The following is a 22437-nucleotide window of genomic DNA, read 5'->3' as shown; positions in this document are numbered from 1 at the left end:
CCAGGTTGGCTCTTTAGAGACAGAGTATTTTTAGTTACTGTGTATTATTTAGAGTTATGGTCTAAGCACAACAGAATGAAGGTTTTTAATTATGGGAGTGGCTGTTAACAACAGCAGCAGACCAGGTACATGCTATGTAGACTTCTTTTTTAAAATTATAGATGAAGGCTGGGAGCGGTGGCCCATGCCTGTAATCCCAGCACTTTGAGAGGCTGAGTTGGGTGGATCACAGGGTCAGGAGTTCAAGACCAGCCTGGCCAAGATGGTGAAACCCCATCTCTACTAAAGTACAAAAATTAGCCAGGCACGGTGGCAGTCTCCTGTAATCCCAGCTATTCAGGAGGTTGAGGCAGGAGAATTGCTTGAACCCGAATGGCAGAGGTTGCAGTGAGTTGAGATCACACCACTGCTCTCCAGCCTGGGCGACAGAGTGAGACTCCATCTCAAATAAAATAAAATAAAATAAATAAAATAAAATTATAGATGAATTGGTACATTAGTTTCTGGGGCCATAAAGGAATGCATAGAAATATCTGTATTATAGTCATTCATTCAACAAATATTTATTGAGTGTTTACTAAGCTTGACATTGAGTTAGTAGTAGATGCCAGAGACATAAGCATCATGTCTCATAAGCACAACTGTTTGTGATTCATAATTGGCCATTTGTGTGGTGTTTGTCCTTAACACATTGTCATCTCTTTTTTCATAGTCTTCCCAGTTGTTTATACAGTTGCGTGGGGTAAGCTTAATATTATTTTACTTAAACAAGCATTAAATGTGCAGTCACAGATTTCTGTACTTTGACAAAATGGCCAGTTTCAGATGGAATAATCTGTGTAAAGGCTGTTTATTACAGGGTTTACACTGGATTTGAATCTATACTCTGCTGCTTACTACCCTCAATTTTATTATATTTAAAAGGGGACAGTAATACTTCTTAAGTTGGATTTTTTGGGAGGGATTACGTATGAATATTTACCATAGTGTTTAGCAGATAATAAATATTGGTTACTTTTATTACAGATGTGCTGAACACCTTGGGAGAATGAACTACGTAGGTAATATTTCATAATTGAAACAGTGAATGGAAAAGCACCTATAAGGCATTCTTTTTTTTTTTTTTTTTAATTTTGAGACGGAGTCTCACTCTGTTGCCAGGCTGGAGTGCAGTGGCACTATCTCGGCTCACTGCAACCTCCAACTCTCTCGTTCAAGTGATTCTCCCAAGTAGCTGAGACTACAGGCACGTGCCATTATGCCCAGCTAATTTTTGTATTTTTGGTAGAGACGGGGTTTCACCATGTTGGCCAGGATGGTCTCGATTTCCTGACCTCATGATCTGCCCACCTGGGCTTCCCAACTGTAAGGCATTCTTAATGTTATTGTTACTTTTGGAAACATGGTAGACTTCAGTGTGCCAATTAATTAAGATTGTAACAAAGTTAGTTTTAAAGGAAAATTGCATATGAAGTTTCATTTTAGTCTCAAAAAAGGATACTCAATAAAGACTTCACTAATCTCAAAGGAGTATGGTATTGCCATCTAGAAGCTGTTCTTTTGGATCTCTGACAGTTGTTACATTTGACTTGTGGTTGTTCTAATGCAATCTTTTGTTTAAATTATTATTACCAACCTGGTGCCAGAGATTGGTTCTCCTCTCCCCTTTTACTTAACCTCTCTCTTTGTGGATCAGCCACATGGGAACTTTATAATATCTGATCTCATGCCTTGCTAATAGAATGTGTACTTCTAAAATGTTTTTCTAGTATTTATGATGGATTTTTTACTGTTCCTGGTTATGACTAATGGAATGCATTTGTGATGCAGTGGTGACATTAGGGTTTCTGCTTGTAAGAATGCAACAAAATGATAGATATTTTGAAACAAATGATCTTTTGTACAGGGTTTTCCACACCAGATAGAGAAGGAGAGGGGGGTGTTTCTCAAAGTGGGTGGGTAGTGCTGTGATGCTTTTTAAAGTAAGCATCCATGTTCATGCAGTGGCAGTGCCTGTGGCTTTTTATTCCTAATTTATCTGTAAAGTTTACTTTAAAATAATTGTGATATCTTTTTTCTATTAGTTTCCATTAATTCCTATTTTTTTGGTCTTAAATTGGTAAGCAGAAATTGATGTAAAAAGTGGTATATTGAACTTTTCTTCCCTCAGAAGTAATCCACTCCTTGTGTTAGCTTTATGGATGGGATTGAGGTTTGTATTGTTTCCTTGTTTAATAAAGTGTACTTCTGATTATGGAGCGAGTCTAATCAGAGTTAAGATAAGAATGAGATAAAGGAGAAAGGGGCCTGGTGCAGTAGCTCACACCTGTAACCCCAGCACTTTGGGAGGCTGAGATGGGTGAATCTCTTGAGTCCAGGAGTTTGAGACCAGCCTGGGCAACATGGCGAAACCCCATCTCTACAAAAAATAAAAAAATTAGCCAGGCATGGTGGTGTGCACCTGTAGTCCCAGCCTCTCAGAAGGCTGAGGTGGGAGAATCACCTGAGCCTGGGAAGTTGAGGGTGTAGTGAGCTGTGATTGTGCCATTGAACTTCAGCCTGGGCAATGGGAATGCGACCCTGTCTCAAAAAATATAATAAAAAATAATGTGATAAAGATATTTATAAAAGAATTGTGGTTTGGTGTTTTAAGTTATTTATACTTTGTTTCTACCCTTAGTGAGAAAATTGGTACTTTAATGTATATACTCAAAGATTGTGTATTTTTCACCAGAATATTACAGGGTAGAATATACTAGATGAAAAACTCAAGAAATATGTTACCAGCATTAAAATTATTTTAGCTGCTCAAGAGTCATAATCACACATAATATGACGATGTTATTTTGAACTTCATTTGCAGATCATAGCAATGGATCATTTAACTTGAAAGCTTTGTCAGGAAGCTCTGGATATAAGTTTGGTGTTCTTGCTAAGATTGTGAATTACATGAAGGTAAGTACTTTTCTCAGATAGCAAAAGTCCTATTTAACTTTTTGGCAAAAGAAGGAGATTAGGGTTTTCAGAAGTTAAATTTCTGTATACATCAAAATTTATCAAAATTGTGCATTTTCAGTATGTGCAGTTTATTGTATGCCAATTATACCTCAAGCCTTTTACATTGTATTAATTTGGCATTGTGGCGAGTTACCAAAGCATATTTAATCTGCATTAACTCAAGGGTACAGTTTAAGCTCACCATTTCACTTAATAAGAGTGTGCCTAGGCAGTAGGTATATCACCTCTTAATGAATACAGGCTGGCAAAACCAATGGGAGGATGTGATTGATTTTTCAGGTTATTACTTCCATTGATGTGAGAAGTAAAAAGTACATAGTTCAGGCAGATGATGGTGATGGCTTCTCTGCATCTTGGAGGAGAAAATTAGACATTTACTGAGAGTCTTAGAAAAACATTGACTCACAAAAGAATTAGAATTTAATGTTTGATGGAAGGTTTAGTATTTTTTGAATACAAAGTTTTGATCATATAAGATTTTGGCTTTACTTTGAATCTTTTTTTTTCCCTTTTCTTTTTTTTTGAGACAGTCTTGCTCCGTTACCCAGGCTGGAGTGCAGTGGCACGATCGTAGCTCACTGCAGCCTTGAACTCCTGTGGTCAAGTGATCCTCCTGCCTCAGCCTCCCAAGTAGCTGGGACTACAGGCATGCACCACCATGCCTGGCTAATTTTCTTATTTTTAGAAGAGACGAAGTCTCACTGTGTTGTCCAGGCTGGTCTCGAACTCCTAAGCTCATGTGATTTTCCCACCTCGGTCTCCCAAAGTGTTTGGCTTTCAGGCATGAGCCACTATGCCTGACCAAGACTTTGAATCTTAACTAAATTTATTAAAGCGGGATTTCATTTTTAGCTAAGATGGCTAAGTAATTTCAAATTTGCTCCCTTCTTTTGCCAAACTCTTATTCACGATTAGTTACTAGTTGCATCTCTTGAAAAAGACAGTACTATATTTGTTATTTTAATTTCATCCATCTATTGGTTAAAATATAAATCAGATTTTTAACTGTGCTAAGGCTTTTCTTTTGTAATTTAATAGACTTAGTGTCTAGCTGAGTCTAAATTCTGTGGTTTGTATTTGGGTTATAGTATAAATATGTTAGTATATAACTCCCCATTATTAAATAATGTATTTTGACACGTAAGTATTCACTGTTGATTCATTTCATCCATTTATTCCCCCACATGGTAAGCAGTTATGAAAATCTATTGGCTGTTTAGGGCACTAATGGTGGGAATACCCAGAAAAAAATGCCACCCTCAGGGCTGTCACTCTGTTGAGGGACACTGACATTTAAGTGTCATGTTTTTGCTACTCTGTTAATATGGTCTTCACTTCCCTATGTGGCTTACTTATAACTTTGTCTGTCTTAGAACAGTGAACTTCAGAATTTTTACTTGTGCTCCCTACAGTTTGAAAAACTGTGTACCCCTTTGTACATATTTAAGTTGATAACTACACTCTGTTAGCAAAGTTTAAATAGTGGCACTATTCAAGCAAAAATTTAAATGATGACCAGAAATACAGAATTTCTGGCATATTGTAGTATTTCAATAAAATATATCACTTTTAAATTTATCTAATGGAATCTAAATGTCATTATTTAAAAGTATAAAAACAAACTCCCTTAATGATTGGGAATTTTAATTATTTTTTCTTTGAATATTTGTGTCCCATCTGTTACTCCCTTTGAATTTTATCCAAATGTTATGTATTTTTATCTTTCAAATCATTTATTGATCATCTATCAAACTTTTCTGCCACAATAATATGTAAATAAATTGAAATATAAATCAAAATTTAAAATGTTTTTCCTATGACCGTAAAGCTCTAAGTGTTAAAAATAACTTACGGTTTGAGTTATTTTTACAATTATTGGTGCACAGTTGATTAGAATAACATACATAGATTAAAATTTTGATTAAATTCACTTTGTATCAGAAATTTATTCTTAAATGAATGCAGCTGTCTCCTCTCTTCCTTCATTAGTTCTTGTGTTTGGCAAATCTGTTCGTGTTTTGAGATTTTGTAGAATTTAAGTGCTTAGACATAAATGTTCAAATATATAAGTTAATTCTAATGGAAATTTTGTGATATCAGAATCTTCCAAGTTATATGTCAAAAATCACTAGTGATTTTATCATCAAGCATCCATTAGTTAATGCTTCTGTTAGGTCCTCCTTCAGTTTTATTGAAAGCAAAAGAATGGAAACCACCCAACTTGCCAAAGGATTTGTTACCTAGTGCTTAACCATTTATTTTCTTAGCTTCTAGGAAGCATATCAAAAAGGCTTATCAAATGTCTTATATCAGTTCCCCTCCCTCCCTTCATAGGTACTTTCTTTAAAATCTGATATATTCAGAAGCAGTTGAGAAAATAGAAATACTGTTAATTTTAATATAGCTTTGTGAATTTTTATTATAATTGTTTTATGTGTTTAAAATATATTTTTGTGAAAACTTTTAGTATGAAGGTTTAGCTTATTCAATTTTTAGAAAATATCTCCTAGTTAACAAAGCCAGTCTCCATTGTCAAACCAACTAGCCATAACAAACTTGCTTTGAATCATAAAATTTTCCTCTATTTTAAATTTCAAATAAATAGATTACCAGATATTTTGGATAATATGAAAACCACTGAGGAATAAATTATGGAATGCATACTAAAAGATACTGCTAAGGTATTTGAGCTGAAAATTATATGACTGAAAAAGAATTACAGTAATTTGTCAATTTTTGTAATAATTTAAACATTTCTGCGCTGCTTGTCATGTTAGATTAAAAATTAAATCAGTTAAAATATGAAGCAAGGGATATGATAAAAGTTGTGTTATTCCTTTATTTATTTATTTGTTTTTGAGACAGGGTCTTAACTCTGTCACCTAGGCTAGAGTGCATTGGCACCATCCTGGCTCACTGCAGCCTCGATCTCCTAGCCTCAAGTGATCCTCCCACCTCAACCTCCCAAGTAACTGGGACTACAGGCACGTGCCACCATGCCTGGCTAATTTTTGTATTTTTTTTGTAGAGACAGGGTCTCTCAGTGTTGCCCAGCTTGGTCTTGAACTCCTGGGCTCAGGGGATCCCTCAAGTGATCCGCCTGCCTCAGCCTCCTGAAGTGCTGGGATTACAGGCGTGAGCCACTAGACCTGGCCTGTTACTCCTTTTTAAATGTGTGTTCCTGCATCTTCTGATCTCTGATCTCAGCTATTAGGTATAAATAAAAGGGAATGAATCAGAAGTAACCTTACATTTTTATTTGGGTAATTAATGAAAGAGATACCTACTGCTTCAAACTACTCAGTATGACAGCTAGCATATCTTATTTTTTGTCAGTAGAAGGTAGAAATATTAAACTGTTGAAAAACTATAATGAGAATTGACTAATTAGAATAAAACTTTAATGATACGATTTGACAAAATAGATTTTAACTACCATATTGAGTAATGCACACTCAATCTAAAGTAATTTCTATACAGCTTTTATATAGCACAATTTGAATGACTTGGCAGTCCTAGAAAGTATTTCTTTTATATTTAAAGGAATCAGCCTCCCTAATTGATATTGTTCCAGCTCTCTAAATATGCTTTTTCTTCAAGCTAATAAATATTCAGGGAATGAGTTTTGAGAATTACTTATATTTAAATTCTCGGCCCAGCACAGTGGCTCACACCTGTATTCTCAGCGCTTTGGGAGGCTGAGGCAGGTGGATCACTTGAGTTTGAGACCAGCCTGGCCAACATGGTGAAACCCCGTCTCTACTAAAAATACAAAAAGAAATTAACCAGGTGTGTTGGCACATGCCTGTAACCGCAGCTACTTTAGAGGCTGAGAATCACATGAGCCTGGGAGGTGGAAGTTGCAATGAGCCAAGATTGCACCACTGTACTCCAGCCTGGGCGACACATTGAGACCTTGTCGCTAATAAAAAAATAAGAATTCTTGAAAAAAATATTTCTTTTTATCTTTTTTTTAACCAGTGTTCTCTGTGCATTACTTTTATCATACTGTCCCCTAAGAGCAATGCGTTCTTGGACAATACTGAATGGAGGTGGGGGTGTAGGGGGAATGGTTGTTAGAGGAAACTTTAAACAATTGCTCACAGATTATGATAGATTAGAATGTTCCAGCAGGGGCCAAAATATTTTAAACTCTTTGAAAAATATGTGACTGGAAAAGACAAGAAGCCCAGTAATGGATAGTTTACGGCACCTCAGTTACCATTCACGAATGCTTCCCTGAAACCATTTTTTTGGCTTGTCTGTTTGTTTGGGTCCCTGGAGTTTATTATTCCTTCAGGCTCTGCATCACAAATTCTGAATGGAGGTGAGATTACTTTTTCATGGCGGGGGGAGGTGGAAGGTAAAGAGAAGGGCTTATTTTGAAAGGGAAGAAGTACATTTGGAAGGTATCTGTAAACAGATTCTTGGAAAGTCTCCCACTGTCTTTTGTGTACCTTTAGAAAGAAAGCAAAAGAAAGGCAACAGAAATGCTCCTTATAGTTGATTCATTTAATAGGGAAACTGTTTAATTGCTTAATAAGAATGATTTAGAAACTGTGGAAAAAGTTCCAGGGGAGGCATTAGATAGGTACAGTGAGATTTATAGCAGATAGTCATAACTTTGGACAAAGTACTAAATAGAAAGATGAAAGGCAGATACAGGAACTTCAGAGTCATAATACTGAGAACATGCAGTGGAGGGGACAAACTGCCCACCTCATCTCACCAGCTCCTGAGATGGTTACTATCATACCATAGCTCAGTAATTTACGTTGGAACAGTAACTGAGACATCAAAAAAGATTAAATTATGTTCAGTGACCTGGTTAAGATGAAAGAGGAACTTTATGGTTTATTTTAGGAGGATTTTTACAGAAATGGTTAATGTAAAACAAATTTTATTGCTTAAAGGAGTAAGTTTTAAAAGCACTCCAAGTTATCTCGAAAATCCCCTTAGGATGCCTCTTTCTTCATATGAGACAGCACTTTAATTCTCAGATGACAAATTAAGTGTGTACTTTATTTTTGATAAAATGATTTTTCTCTTGATTTCAGCATTATTCCTTATGTCTCGGTTATGTAAAACACTATGTTGAAAAATCTGGGTTAATTTGGCTTATTCTAGCTTAGTGTTTCTCCAGTGTCATTCTCCAGCCAGCAGTATCAGCATCACCTGGGAACTTGTTAGAAATGCAAATTCTTGGGCCCCTTTCCAGACCTATTGAATTTGAAACTCTGGGAGTATAGCTCAACAGTCTTTTTTTTTTTTTTTTTTTTTGAGATGGAATCTTGCTCTGTCACCCAGGCTGGAGTGCAGTGGTGCGATCTTGGCTCATTGCAAGCTCTACCTCCTGGGTTCACGCCATTCTCCTGCCTTAGCCTCCCGAGGAGCTGGGACTACAGGCGCCTGCCACCACGCCTGGCTAATTTTTTTGTATTTTTTTAGTAGAGACGGGGTTTCACCGTGTTAGCCAGGATGGTCTGGATCTCCTGACCTTGTGATCTGCCCGTCTCAGCCTCCCAAAGTGCTGGGATTACAGGCGTGAGCAACAGTCTGTTTTTAAAAAAGCCCTTCAAGTGATTGTGATACATGCTGAAGTTTGAGAATCACTGGCCTAACTTCTGTCTGAATTACTTCTGACAATTATTTTTGAATTTAGAAACTCTGGAGTCCATAGACATTAAATGACTGGCTCATAGACACAGTTCTGGTCCATAGTAGGACTGGGTCAAGAATATGGATCTATTTCCAGTTTTAAATAAAAGTATTTAAATTATATGACAATATCTCTACTAAATACAGGTATAAAAATTTTTTAAAATATATGAACCAATTTAATCTGTTCAAATATAAGATATGAATATATATGTCCATAGATCTGATAATACATTGTGATGGAGTAAAGTTTAGGAATGTATGAGTGGTTAATATTTGAAAATTAATTAGTGTAAGTTATATTAACAGAATAAAGAAAAATCATGATCTCTTAGTGGATATAGAAAAAGTTGCTGGTAAAATTTTTTTTTTTTTTTTTTGAGACGGAGTCTCACTCTCTTGCCCAGGCTGGAGTGCAGTGGCACTGTCTCAGCTTACCGTAACCTCCGCCTCCCGGGTTCAAGCGATTCTCCTGCCTCAGCCTCCTAAGTAGCTGGGATTACAGGCGTGTGCCACCACACCCGGCTAATTTTTTGTATTTTTAGTAGAGATGAGGTTTCACCGTGTTAGCCAGGATGGGCTTGATCTCCTAACTTCGTGATCTGCCTGCCTCGGCCTCTCAAAATGCTGGGATTACAGGCGTGAGCCAACATGCCCAGCCTCTGGTAAAATTTAATACCAATTTATTATAAAAACTTGCAGCAAATTAGTAGAGGCAAAGTTCCTCAATGCAATAGAGCAGCCTTTCTCAATCTTCTTACTCTGGAGGAACCCTTGAAATAATTTTCAGGTCTCAGAGAACCCATGCAAAGAATTGCTATACCTCCGAGTTCACATTTATTAACCTAATCAGTAAGTTGTGGACATGATAAGTTAATAATAATTGTCAGTGCTCTTTTGACAGGAGAATATTTTTGTCTTTGCATTTATTTCGCCCAGCTTATTAGCCTGCTCTTTGTGTGTGTGGTTGCTCCCTACTCCCCAGGAAGGATCTCCACTCTTGTGCAAGTCAGTAGTATAGGCAGAGGAAACCTCAGTTTTTTTCTTTTTTAAAATTTTCTACTTGATTTCTTTTCTCACCTGATCAAAGTAGGCAACTTACTTGTTCTCAGTTGGGCAGAAGCTTGGGATAAGAAAGGAACCTTCACCCAGGTTCACATTTGTGTTGAAAGAGGGAGAAAGTACTGTTTAATTTTGTGTTTTAGTTCTTCCAGGTGGTTTTCGAGAATGCTTCAGAGTTGCTGGTATCCTTCCTCACTTTCAAGCCCAAACAGCATTACAAGATTTCTTTTGCCACATGATTTTTCCAGAGATTCAGTTTTCCTTTGAAATCCAATGTCTTGTCACTTGAAGTCAAAACATTTTTTTCTAAACTTGTTCAACTGGTTCATATTATTTTAAAAAGTCTGCCAAGAGGCTAGCTCCTGCAGTCACTCTTCATCTTCAAAGCACTCAGTAAAGGATGGCCTACTATTTTCTTGAAAGTACTTTGTAATTCAGCTTTCAGCTTCAGTGTTCTGTTGAGAATACCTCCTCTGCTAAGCCACTGGATTTCTGTATGTAGCAAGAGATTTAGGTGCTCAAGTATACTGGTCTATGTTTAATAAAGCAAATCATTTTTAAACATCATTCAAGACTTTTTTTAAATAGTGATGAGGTCTTGCTGTGTTGCCAGGCTGGTCTTAAACTCCTGGCCTCAAGCAATCCTCCTGTGTTGGTCTCCCAAAGTGCTGGGATTATAGGTGTGCGCCACTGCATCTGGCCCATTCAAGACATCTTAAATTTCATTTCCGAGGATTTTTGCTGCTAGTACCTCTCTGAAAAAAGCGATGTCCTGAGTTTTTTTTTTTTTTTTTTTTTTTGCAAGAGAGGTAAAACCTTGCCGTGAGCCAGTCACTAATGGGGAACATCACTGTGGATGCCAACACAGTTTCTCTAAGATGGACTTCTTGTTTCCAGATATGAAGACACCACATTGAAAATGTCATGCCCTTTGTTTATGGTAGTTTTTTTGCAGCACAAAAATTTTTCTTGAAATTCAGCATTGTTTAAAAAAATTTACAAGACATATATAGTGAAATATGTTGGTTTGTCAGCCTGGATAAACAAGCTGTTTGTCAGTTTATTAAACCTCTTAGCATCATGTGACATGTCATCAATTTGTCAACTTACACTGTTTGAGAGTGGAGCCTTTTCAGTTTCTCATGCTGTGCATTTTACTTACTGTCATTTAACATGCTGGCATGATTAGGTTCCCATCAGTGGTGTGATTCTATCCACTATACCCCCTTTTTAGACAATAAATTCTGCTACTAATAACGTGCTTTATGAGCTTTTTCACTGAATGTGATTTAAAAACAAAAAGATGAAGAGCTTTACTCTGAGATTCCAGTAAGTACCTTGACTTGTCCAGTAGCTGTGATTTCTATTTCAGTGATTTTTCACTTTTGCTGGAGTCATAAATTGTTTGCCACAGATGCTGCACAATGGAATAGGACTCTTTGGATTACTAACCTAGTGAAGTTCATTGATAAGTAGTTTTCACTGTAGTGGTAGGCTGTTCTCTCTCTCTTGCTGCACTGGTGCAGTAAAATGACCCAGAAGATTATAGTTCTTTATTACTTGCCTTATTAGAATTGTTCCTGGGCCTAGGTTTGGAATTCTCTTCTCTTGTAAATTGTATCTTCAGAAATCATCACGCTGCACTGTCAGACATGTTTATAAGACATAGATGCTAATATGTTATAAAACTAAAGGGAATAGTAACTGAGAAAGTTGCAAAAAATATGAAAACTTCACAATACATTTTACTTCTTTTTTCTTTTTTGAGACAGAGTCTCGCTCTGTCATCAGGATGGAGTGCAATGGCGTGATCTCGGCTCACTGCAACCTCCACCTCTCGGGTTCAAGCGATTCTCCTGCTTCAGCCTCCCAAGTAGCTGGGACTACAGGCGTGTGCCACCACGCCCGGCTAAATTTTGTATTTTTAGTAGAGATGGGGTTTCACCATGTTGGCCAGGATGGTCTCGATCTCTTGACCTTGTGATCTGCCCACGTTGGCCTCCCAAAGTGGTGGGATTACAGGTGTGAGCCACTACTCCCAGCTACATTTTACTTTTATTGCTACATAATCCATGTTTTGCAACATTTCAGAGTGGTAAGAAGCAGTTGACTCTTGGTGTGTAAAAATTACTTGTTTAGAATGAATGTTTTCCTTAGATTTTCTGTTATACCAGTAGAGTTTGTTTGGTCCTATAAGTCAGTGGCACTGTGTGAAGGAAGGTTGGAGGATGTAATTTGGGAAGGGAGCTGCTGACATTGTCAGCCTACTATGCTTTTGTTTGTGCCATATAGAGCTTACCAATTATCAGTGGCCTAACTGCCCCTATTGCATCAAAAACGGATAGTGGCAGGCTGGGCACGGTGGCTCACGCCTGTAATCCTAGCACTTTGGGAGGCTGAGGCGGGCGGGTGACTTGAGGTCAGGAGTTTGAGACCAGCCTGGCCAACATGGCAAAACCCCGTCTCTAATAAAAATACAAAAATTACCTGGGTGTGATGGCGCATGGCTGTAGTCCCAGCTACTCAGGAGGCTGAGGCACAGGAATCGTCTGAACCCTGGAGGTGGAGGTTGCAGTGAGCCGAGATCGTGCCACTGTACTCCTGCCTGGGTGTCCCTTAAAACAAAAAACAAAAAACAACAGACAGTGCCCTCAGCAAAGTGAACATAGCCCTACTTGCACACTGCCACATGGTGCTAAAAGATTCCTTATGAAACCATTGATTTGGCTGTTCGGTCGTTGCCTGTTACTGTGAGCACCAGCATCACCTGGTGTGAGAAATTTAGAAAATGTTTATTTTTTAAAATCACGATTTCTTGTGGAACCTTAGAGTTTTGTGGAATGCTGGTTGAGAAACCCAGTGGTAAGAGGGTAACTGTGAAAACCTAGATTTCACCCTGGGATGCAAGGCTGGTTCAACATACGCAAGTCAATAAACGTAATCCAGCATATAAACAGAACCAAAGACAAAAACCACATGATTATCTCAGTAGATGCAGAAAAGGCCTTTGACAAAATTCAACAGCGCTTCATACTAAAAAAAAACCCTCAATAAATTAGGTATTGATGGGACGTATCTAAAAATAATAAGAGCTATTTATGACAAACCCACAGCCAGTATCATACTGAATGGGCAAAAACTGGAAGCATTCCCTTTGAAAACTGGCACAAGACAGGGATGCCCTCTCTCACCACTCCTATTCAACATAGTGTTGGAAGTTCTGGCCAGGGCAATCAGGCAGGAGAAAGAAATAAAGGGTATTCATTTAGGAAAGAGGAAGTCAAATTGTCCCTGTTTGCAGATGACATGATTGTATATCTAGAAAACCCCATCATCTCAGCCCAAAATCTCCTTAAGCTGATAAGCAACTTCAGCAAAGTCTCAGGATACAAAATCAATGTGCAAAAACCACAAGCATTCTTACACACCAGTAACAGACAAACAGCCAAATCATGAGTGAACTCCCATTCACAATTGCTTCAAAGAGAATAAAATACCTAGAAATCCAACTTACAAGGGATGTGAAGGACCTCTTCAAGGAGAACTACAAACCACTGCTCAATGAAATAAAAGAGGATACAAACAAATGGAAGAACATTCCATGCTCATGGCTAGGAAGAATCAATATCATGAAAATGGCCATACTGCCCAAGGTAATTTATAGATTCAATGCCATCCCCATCAAGCTACCAATGACTTTCTTCACAGAATTGGAAAAAACTACTTTCAAGTTCATATGGAACCAAAAAAGAGCCCGCATTGTGAAGTCAGTCCTAAGCCAAAAGAACAAAGCTGGAGGCATCATGCTACCTGACTTCAAACTATACTACAAGGCTACAGTAACCAAAACAGCATGGTACTGGTACCAAAACAGAGATACAGACCAATGGAACAGAACAGAGCCCTCGGAAATAATACCACACATCTACAACTATCTGATCTTCGACAAACCTGACAAAAACAAGCAATGAGGAAAGGATTCCCTGTTCAACAAATGGTGCTGGGAATACTGGCTAGCCATATGTAGAAAGCTGAAACTGGATCCCTTCCTTACACCGTATACAAAAATTAATTCAAGATGGATTAAAGACTTAAATGTTAGACCAAAAACCATAAAAACCCTAGAAGAAAACCTAGGCAATACTATTCAGGACATAGGCATGGGCAAGGACTTCATGTCTAAAACACCAAAAGCAATGGCAACGAAAGCCAAAATAGACAAATGGGATCTAATTAAACTAAAGGGCTTCTGCACAGCAAAAGAAACTACCATCTGAGTGAACAGGCAACCTACAGAATGGGAGAAAATTTTTCCAATCTACTCATCTGACAAAGGGCTGATATCCAGAATCTACAAAGAACTCAAACAAATTTTCAAGAAAAAAAAACCCCATCAAAAAGTGGGCAAAGGATACGAACAGATACATCTCAAAAGAAGACATTTATGCAGCCAACAGACACATGAAAAAATGCTCATCATCACTGGCCATCAGAGAAATGCAAATCAAAACCACAATGAGATACCATCTCACACCAGTTAGAATGATGATCATTAAAAAGTCAGGAAACAACAGGTGCTGGAGAGGATGTGGAGAAACAGGAACACTTTTACACTGTTGGTGGGACTGTAAACTAGTTCAACCATTGTAGAAGTCAGTGTGGCGATTCCTCAGGGATCTAGAACTAGAAATACCATTTGACCCAGCCATCCCATTACTGGGTATATACCGAAAGGATTATAAATCATGCTGCTGTAAAGAGACATGCACGCATATGTTTATTGCAGCACTCAAATGTCCAACAATGATAGACTGGATTAAGAAAATGTGGCACATATACACCATGGAATACTATGCAGCCATAAAAAATGATGAGTTCATGTCCTTTGTAGGGACATGGATGAAGCTGGAAACCATCATTCTCAGCAAACTATCGCAAGGACGAAAAACCAAACACTGCATGTTCTCACTCATAGGTGGGAATTGAACAGTGAGAACACTTGTGTTGCGGGAAGTCAGGGACCCCAAATGGAGGGACCGACTGAAACCATGGCAGAAGAACGTGGATTGTGAAGATTTCATGGACATTTATTAGTTCCCCAATTTAATACTTTTATAATTTCTTATGCCTTTCTTTACTCCAGTCTCTAAACATAAATTGTGAAGATTTCATGGGCACTTATCACTTCCCCAGTCAATACCCTTGTGATTTCCTATGCCTGTCTTTACTTTAATCTCTTAATCCTGTCAGCTGAGGAGGATGTATGTCGCTTCAGGACCCTGTGATAATTGCGTTAACTGCACAAATTGTAGAGCATGTGTGTTTGAACAATATGAAATCTGGGCACCTTGAAAAAAGAACAGGGTAACAGCAATGTTCAGGGAATAAGAGAGATAACCTTAAACTCTGACCACCGGTGAGCCGGGTGGAACAGAGCCATATTTCTTTTCTTTCAAAAGCAAATGGGAGAAATATCGCTGAATTCTTTTTCTCAGCAAGGAGCATCCCTGAGAAAGCAAATACGTGCCTGGGGGTAGGTCTGTAGACGGCCCCCCTGGCTGTGGCCATCTTCTATGGTCGAGCTGTAGGGATGAAATAAGCCCCAGTCTCCCATAGTGCTCCCAGGCTTATTAGGACGAGGAAATTCCCGCCCAATAAATTTTGGTCAGACCGGTTGCTCTCAAAACCCTGTCTCCTGATAAGATGTTACCAATGACAATGGTGCCTGAAACTTCATTAGCAATTTTAATTTCACCCTGGTCCTGTGGTCCTGTGATCTCGCCCTGCCTCCATTTGCCTTGTGATACTCTATTATCTTGTGAAGCACATGATCTCTGTGACCCACACCCTATTTGTACACTCCCTCCCCTTTTGAAAGTCCCTAGTAAAAACTTGCTGGTTTTGCAGCTTGTGGGGCATCACGGAACCTACTGACATGTGATGTCTCCCCTGGACGCCCAGCTTTAAAATTTCTCTCTTTTGTACTCTGTCCCTTTATTTTTCAAACTGGCCAACACTTAGGGAAAATAGAAAAGAACCTACATGACTATTGGGGCAGGTTCCCTAATACCCTTGGACACAGGAAGGGGAACATCACACACCGGGGCCTGTTGTGGGTGGGGGGAGGGGGGAGGGATAGCATTAGGAGATATACCTAATGTAAAGGACGAGTTAGTGGGTACAGCACACCAACATGGCACATGTATACATATGTAACAAACCTGCAGGTTGTGCACATGTACCCTAGAACTTTAAAGTATAATAAAAAAATATATATATATATAAGAACCCCCTAGATTTAACATCATACTTAACGATGAGATAGCAAATGTGTTTTCTTTAGGTCAGGAAAAAGACAAGGATACCAAATTGTCACACCTTTTGTTCTGTATTGTACTGGAAGTTCTTCCTGGTGCAGTAAGGCACGAAGGAAGTAGTAACATAAAAATTGGAAAGGAAGAAGTAAAACCACAGATGATGTGATTAAGTATGTAGAAAAGCTAGAAGAATCTGGGAACTACTGGAATTAATAGGTATATTCAGTAAGGTTACCAAATAAAGCTGAATCTACAAAAATCAATTTCTACAAATTTGCAATAAAAAAATAAGAAAGTGAAACAAAGTACGAAAGGCAGCACACCAAAAGTCATCCAATAATTAGGAAGAAATTTAACAAAGATGTTTTCTTTGCTGAAAACTAAATCAAGTCTCTAGTTGTAGGGCATTATGTATGTACTCTCTGTAAGCACTCTTTCATTTTTCTTTTTAATTCCTGATCTATGAGGAAGGGATTTTCAGTTTCTCTTGATCTTTTATTGTTCATCACTCATTTTGATCCAGTAGCTTCCCCTTAGCAACTTGATAGTTGGATTTTTGGCTTCTGTGTTTACAAAGCTCAGTGAAAATGGTTAGGCTTTCATGCATTGATTATTACTTCTGTCATTGATTTTTTTCTGATTCCAATAATTCCATTTATTTTTGATTTAAAAACAATAGTACAAGGCTAGTAATTTTTAAATTTTTCTTGAGGTGTATTCTTATTTTCCAGGTTAGGTTGGCCTTTTGGTAATTTTGTACTTGATTGTAATGGGGAAAAAAACTTTTAATGTAAAGGAAACAAAGGAAAATAGATCAAATTTAATAATGATAATGGAGAATATGGAAAAATATTTTGAAAGGGTTGTATTGGCTCTCCTTAGACAAGTAACCTCCATTATTCCTTCTAGTTTAGGCTATGTGCTTCCAGATCCATATATCCAAAAGTCTACTGCACTGCTCTCCTCTGTTTTTTTCTTAGCTACCTCATTTTTTTTTTTTTCCAAGATGTAATATCACTCTGTTTCCCAGGCTGGAGTGCAGTAGCGCAGTCTTGGCTCATTGCAACCTCCGTCTGCTGGGCTCAAGCGATTCTCCTGCCTCAGCCTCTTCAGCAGCTGGAATTATAGGCATGTGCCACCATGCCTGGCTAATTTTTTTTTTTTTTGTGGAGTCGAGGTTTCATCATGTTGGCCAGGCTGGCCTTGAACTACTTACTGAACTCAGGTGATTCACCCACGTCAGCCTCCCCAAGTGCTGGGATTGCAGACGTGAGCCACCGTGCCCAGCTCGGCTAACTCTTATTAAAATTTTCTTAGCTTACTGTTTGTACATGTGCTAGTGTATTACTCTATCAATACATTGTATATGTTATAAGCTTACACAAAAATAAGAAATGAAAAAGATAGAGATAAAAGGTAAAATACACTATTTTAAAATAATTTTTTTAACAGTATAAGAAGCTCTTTTTCTGACTGAAAGCAGTATGATTGAATGAGTGCTGTGTCAAACATCTTCATTTAACCTTTTCTTACAAAGTGATGAAGGTCTCGTTTTAGGTTTAGTTTGTTTGGAACCTTGGTTTTAATTGATGTCATAGCAATAAAGACCCTTAGCAAAGATTTATAGATCTCAAAGGAATGAATGTGTGTATGTATACGTGTGTGTGTGTGTTTGTGTGTGTGTGTGTGTGTTTGTGTGTGTGTATAAGTTTCCTATTGCTGCTGTAAATTACCACAACTTTAGTGGCTTAAAACAACAGAAATTGGTTATCTTCCAGTTTTGGAAGTCGGAGGTTCAAAAGGCAGACTTGCTGGGCTAAAGTCAGAGTATAGGCAGGTTTGGTTCCTTCTGGAGACATAAAGGGGAGCATCTCTTTACTCTGTCAGTTTCTACAGGCCACCTGCATTCCCTGACTCATAGTCCTTCCTCCATCCTCTTCTGTTGTCACATCTCTTGCTATTCACTCGGACTCTCCTGCCTCCCTCTTTCCCTTTTAAGGGACACCTGGAAATCTGCAATAATGTCTCCTATCTCTGGATCCTTGGTTTAATCATGCCAATGAAGTCCCTTTTGTCATGCAAGGTAACACAGCCACAGGTTGATTTGGATGTGCATGTTTTTGGAGGGAGGGTATGCATTATTCACTCAGCGGCTATAAATCATTGTTAGAAAATTGTGACACTGATTTATTTTAATCCCGACAATTTGGCTAGTAAACTCCCATTTTAAAAAATATGTCAGTTTGGCCAGGCGCAGTGGCTCACACCTGTAATCCCAGCACTATAGGAGGCTGAGGTGGCCAGATCATGAGGTCAGGAGTTCGAGACCAGCCTGACCAACATGGTGAAACCCCGTCTCTACTAAAAATACAAAAATTAGCCAGGTGTTGTGGTGCACGCGTATAGTCCCAGCTACTTGGGAAGCTGAAGCAGGAGAATTGCTTGAACCTGGGAGGTGGCGGTTGCGGTGAGCCGAGATCATGCCATTGCACTCCAGCGTGGGCACCAAGAGCGAAACTCCGTCTCAAAAAAAAAAAAAAAGTCAGTTTATGCAAAATATATCAAAATGGATTATAATTTTTAAATTACTGACAATTTTGATTTTAAACTCATAGAAGGGTTTTGTCTGGAAGACTTTTTAAAAATAAAGATTATAAAACAGCACTCAAAGTACTGTAAAACTATTGAAGTAGACTGGGCACGGTGGCTCATGCCTGTAATCCCAACACTTCGGGAGGCTGAGGCAGGTGGATCATGAAGTCAGGAGATCGAGACCATCCTGGACAACATGGTGAAACCTCGTCTTTACTAAAAATACAAAAATTAGCATGGTGTGGTGGCACATGCCTGTAGTCTCAGCTACTCGGAGGCTGAGGCAGGAGGATCACTTGAACCCGGGAGGTGGAGGTTGCAGTGACCCAAGATTGCACCACTGCACTCTAGCCCGGTGACAAGGCGAGACTACATCTCAAAGAAGATAATAGTGAAGGTTAGAAAATAGTTTATCAAAATTTTAAGATATGCAGATATGACAGTTTTTATTCTTATACCTTTTAAACTCAGAAATCACATAATGATGGAAATATTTCCCAGTCTTTTCAAAATGCTCTTTCCATGGCATGAATTTATTTCAAAAAGCAGCTACTTTTACACATCATTAAATGCCAGCTTTACTTTGAAGGAATAGATGGCTTATTTTAATTATTTTAAAAATAATTGTTAGCAAACTGTAAATAGCTGCTATAATCATAGAATATTGAGCAGATTTGAAACATTTTGCCTTTTTGTAAGGAGAAATTTGTAATTCATTTCTTACAGCTTTGTGAAACCATTGTACAATGTCTACCTTTGAAAGGTCTTTAAAAAAAAATTCTCCACAATCCATCTTATAACAGGCCAGTCTCACTGTGTTGCAGAATCCTGAAAGTGAAGGAATGAGCGAGGCCATGCATGCTGGGCCCTTTGTCATGTGAGATTCCCAGGCCCGCCTCAGGATTCCTACATGCATGTCACGATTGGAAATGTGGATGTCCTGACATGAAGCGAAGGAGCCACTTTACTACTAGTGATGAAGGAGCCACTTTACTAATAGTATTTGTCAGTCCACATATTCACTATTAGTAAAGCGTAACTCCCCCCCGCCCCCCGAGACAGAGTGTTGCGCTGGAGTGCAATAGTGCAACCTCGGCTCACCGCAACCTCTGCCTCCTCAGTTGAAGCGATTCTCCTTCCTCAGCCTCCTGAGTAGCTGGGATTACGGGCATGTGCCACCATGTTCGGCTAATTTTTTGTATTTTTAATAGAGACAGATTTCACTATGTTGGTCAGGCTGGTCTTGAACTCCTGGCCTCAAGATCCATCTGCCTCGGCCTCCCAAAGTGCTGGGATTACAGGCATGAGCCACTGTGCCCAGCCTAAGTAAAGCATAACTTTTAAATGGAAATTAAAGACAATTTTAATAAATGTTCTAAAGAATCATCACGAGGTACCCACTTTTGTGTCCCTGGGGTGTGTACACCCCACGTAGGAGACCACTGCTGTACTATAGCTGCCCGGCGTTTCCCCGTATTCTAGTTAATCATGTCGTCATTCAAGGTCTGTCCAGTTTTCTCTTTCATTTCTTCTGATTGAAGATGCCTTCCTGACAGATAGTTGTTTACCTAGCTTTTTTTTTTTTTTTGAGACAAGATCTGGTTCTGTCACCCAGGCTGGATGGAGTGCAGTGGCATGACCACAGCTCACTTGCAGCATCTGCCTCCTGGGCTCAAGCAGTCGTTACAGCCTGCCAAGGAACTGGGACTATAGGCGTGTGCCACCATACCTGATTAATTTTTGTATATATGCAATTTTTTGGTAGAGTCAGAGTTTTGCCATGTTGTCCAGGCTGGCCTCAATCTCCTGGGTTCAAGCAACCTGCCCACTTTGACCTTCCAATTTGCTGGGATTCAGGTGTGAGCCACTATGCCCGGCCATATCTAACTTTTGTAGCTTGTATGTTTAGCTTCTCCCCTCTATTGGGAGCTCTTCTGCTCTAAAGGCAGAAGTAGTTTGCATTTTATTGTGTGTCTCATTGCAGTACTCTCAGCACATAGTAGTTACCACTAAATATTTGAATGAATAAGTGAATGAATTAACAGCAAACGCTCAATGAATGGTTCTTTTGTGTGGTGTGTTAAGCTTATGTCTCTATCTGCTGTCTGTACCTTCTAGTTTGGCGAAGTGGCTATTTAGTTTTCCAGGGCCTGACTGAAGCCCAATGAGGTTCAGTAACCTGCTCAATGTGAGGGAACTTGGAGCTTGGGTTTTTTTTTCTTTTGAAGAGTTATTTTTGTTTTGGATAAATAACATATCTCTTTGTACAAAAAGTAAAGTTGTATAATAAGGTACAATGAAGGAGTCTTGTTCTCACCTGTCATCCTACTCATTTTCTCCCCTCTTGTGCTTTCTACAGGTAACCTCTTTTATTAGTTTCTTGTGATTTTTTTTCCAGTGGTTCTTTATGCAGAAACAAAGTTCAAATGTATACTTATTTCTACCCTTCCCTATATACAAGGGTTCATAGTGCATATGTTTTTTAACATACATACTTTTTTCTTATTTACTTTAAAAAACACTTTTTTTTTTAGAGCAGTTTTAGGTTCACAGCAAAATTGATTGGAAAATACAGAATTCTCATCCATTCCCTGCCCATCCCCCCACAGCTTCCTCCACTATCAACATCCTGCACCAGAAGAGTACATTTGTGACAGTCAATGAACCTACGTTGACAAATTACCACTCAAAGTCCATAGTTTACATGAGTTCACCCTTAGTGGTGTTCTTTCTGTGGGTTTGGACAAGTGTATAATGACCTATGTCCACCACTCTAGTATCCTCCTGAGTATTTTCACTGCCCTAAAAATTCTCAGGGCTCTGCTTGTTCATCCTCTCCCCTCAACCCTTGGCAGCCACTAAACTTTTTTTAATTTTTAATTTTTAAAATTATTTATTTATTTTTAAAACAGAGTCTTGCTCTGTTGCCAGGCTGGAATGCAATGGCTTGATCTTGGCTCACTGCAACCTCCGCCTCCCAGGTTCAAGTGATTCCCCTGCCTCAGCCTCCCGAGTAGCTGAGACTACAGGCACCCGCTACCACGCCTGGCTAATTTTTTGTATTTTAGTAGAGATGGGATTTCACCATGTTGGCCAGGATGGTCTCGATCTCCTTACCTTGTGGCCTGCTTCGTTTTCCCAAAGTGCTGGGATTACAGGTGTGAACCACTGCATCTGGCCTGCAGCCACTAAACTTTTTATTGTCTCCATGGTTTTTGCCTTTTCCGGAATGTCAACAGTTGGAGCCATACAGTATGTATCCTTTTCAGATTGGCTTCTTTCCCTTAGTAATATGTATTTAAGGTTTCTCCATGTTTTTTTCATAGCTTGATAGCTCATTTCGTTTTAGCACTGGATAGTATTCCATCGTCTGGATATACCACGGTTTATTTACCCACTCACCTACTGAAGGACATCTTGGTTGCTTCCAGCTTTTGGCAATTATGGATAAAGCTGTAATAAGCATCCTTAGTGGATTTTTGTATGTACATAATTTTTTGGCTCATTTGGGTAAATACCAAGGATCGTGATTGCTAGATTGATCAAATGGTAAGAGTGTGTTTAGTGTTGTAAGAAACTGCTGAACTGTCTTCCACAGTAGCTGTACCATTTAGCATACTCACCAGTAATGAATGACAGCTCCTGTTCCTTTGCATCCTCTCTAGCTTTTGGTATCTACGTGTGTGTGTGTGTTTTCTTTGGATAGGCATGATACATATGTTTTTTAACTTATTAATTTGTCTTGGACATCTTTTCAAATTAGCACATAGAGAACTTTTACATTTACTTT

General features: G+C 38.7%; 1 protein-coding gene across 7 annotated transcripts in view, besides 1 other annotated feature; it reads left to right on the top strand.

Moving 5' to 3' along the window:
* GTF2E2 (general transcription factor IIE subunit 2) overlaps positions 1-22437 on the top strand; it is a 79919-nt gene that overhangs the window by 20250 nt on the left and 37232 nt on the right. For all 7 annotated transcript variants that reach the window (NM_002095.6, XM_017013364.2, XM_017013363.2 and 4 more), the window contains exon 3: positions 2864-2955. In NM_002095.6, the coding sequence (NP_002086.1) occupies positions 2864-2955 (92 nt within the window). The remainder of the gene's footprint in view (positions 1-2863; positions 2956-22437) is intronic.
* Positions 7585-7644: an enhancer, noted in NCBI's record as "active region_27213". NCBI's record gives its function as "activates an Ori minimal core promoter by ATAC-STARR-seq in GM12878 lymphoblastoid cells {active_cell/tissue: GM12878}" and the evidence as "EXISTENCE:reporter gene assay evidence [ECO:0000049][PMID:35858748]".

The sequence above is a fragment of the Homo sapiens genome, chromosome 8 (genome assembly GCF_000001405.40).
Source record: "Homo sapiens chromosome 8, GRCh38.p14 Primary Assembly".
NCBI classification, from domain to species: Eukaryota; Metazoa; Chordata; class Mammalia; order Primates; family Hominidae; genus Homo; species Homo sapiens.
The sequence above is the reverse complement of the archived record's forward strand: the minus strand, read 5'-3'. Positions and strand labels throughout refer to the sequence as shown.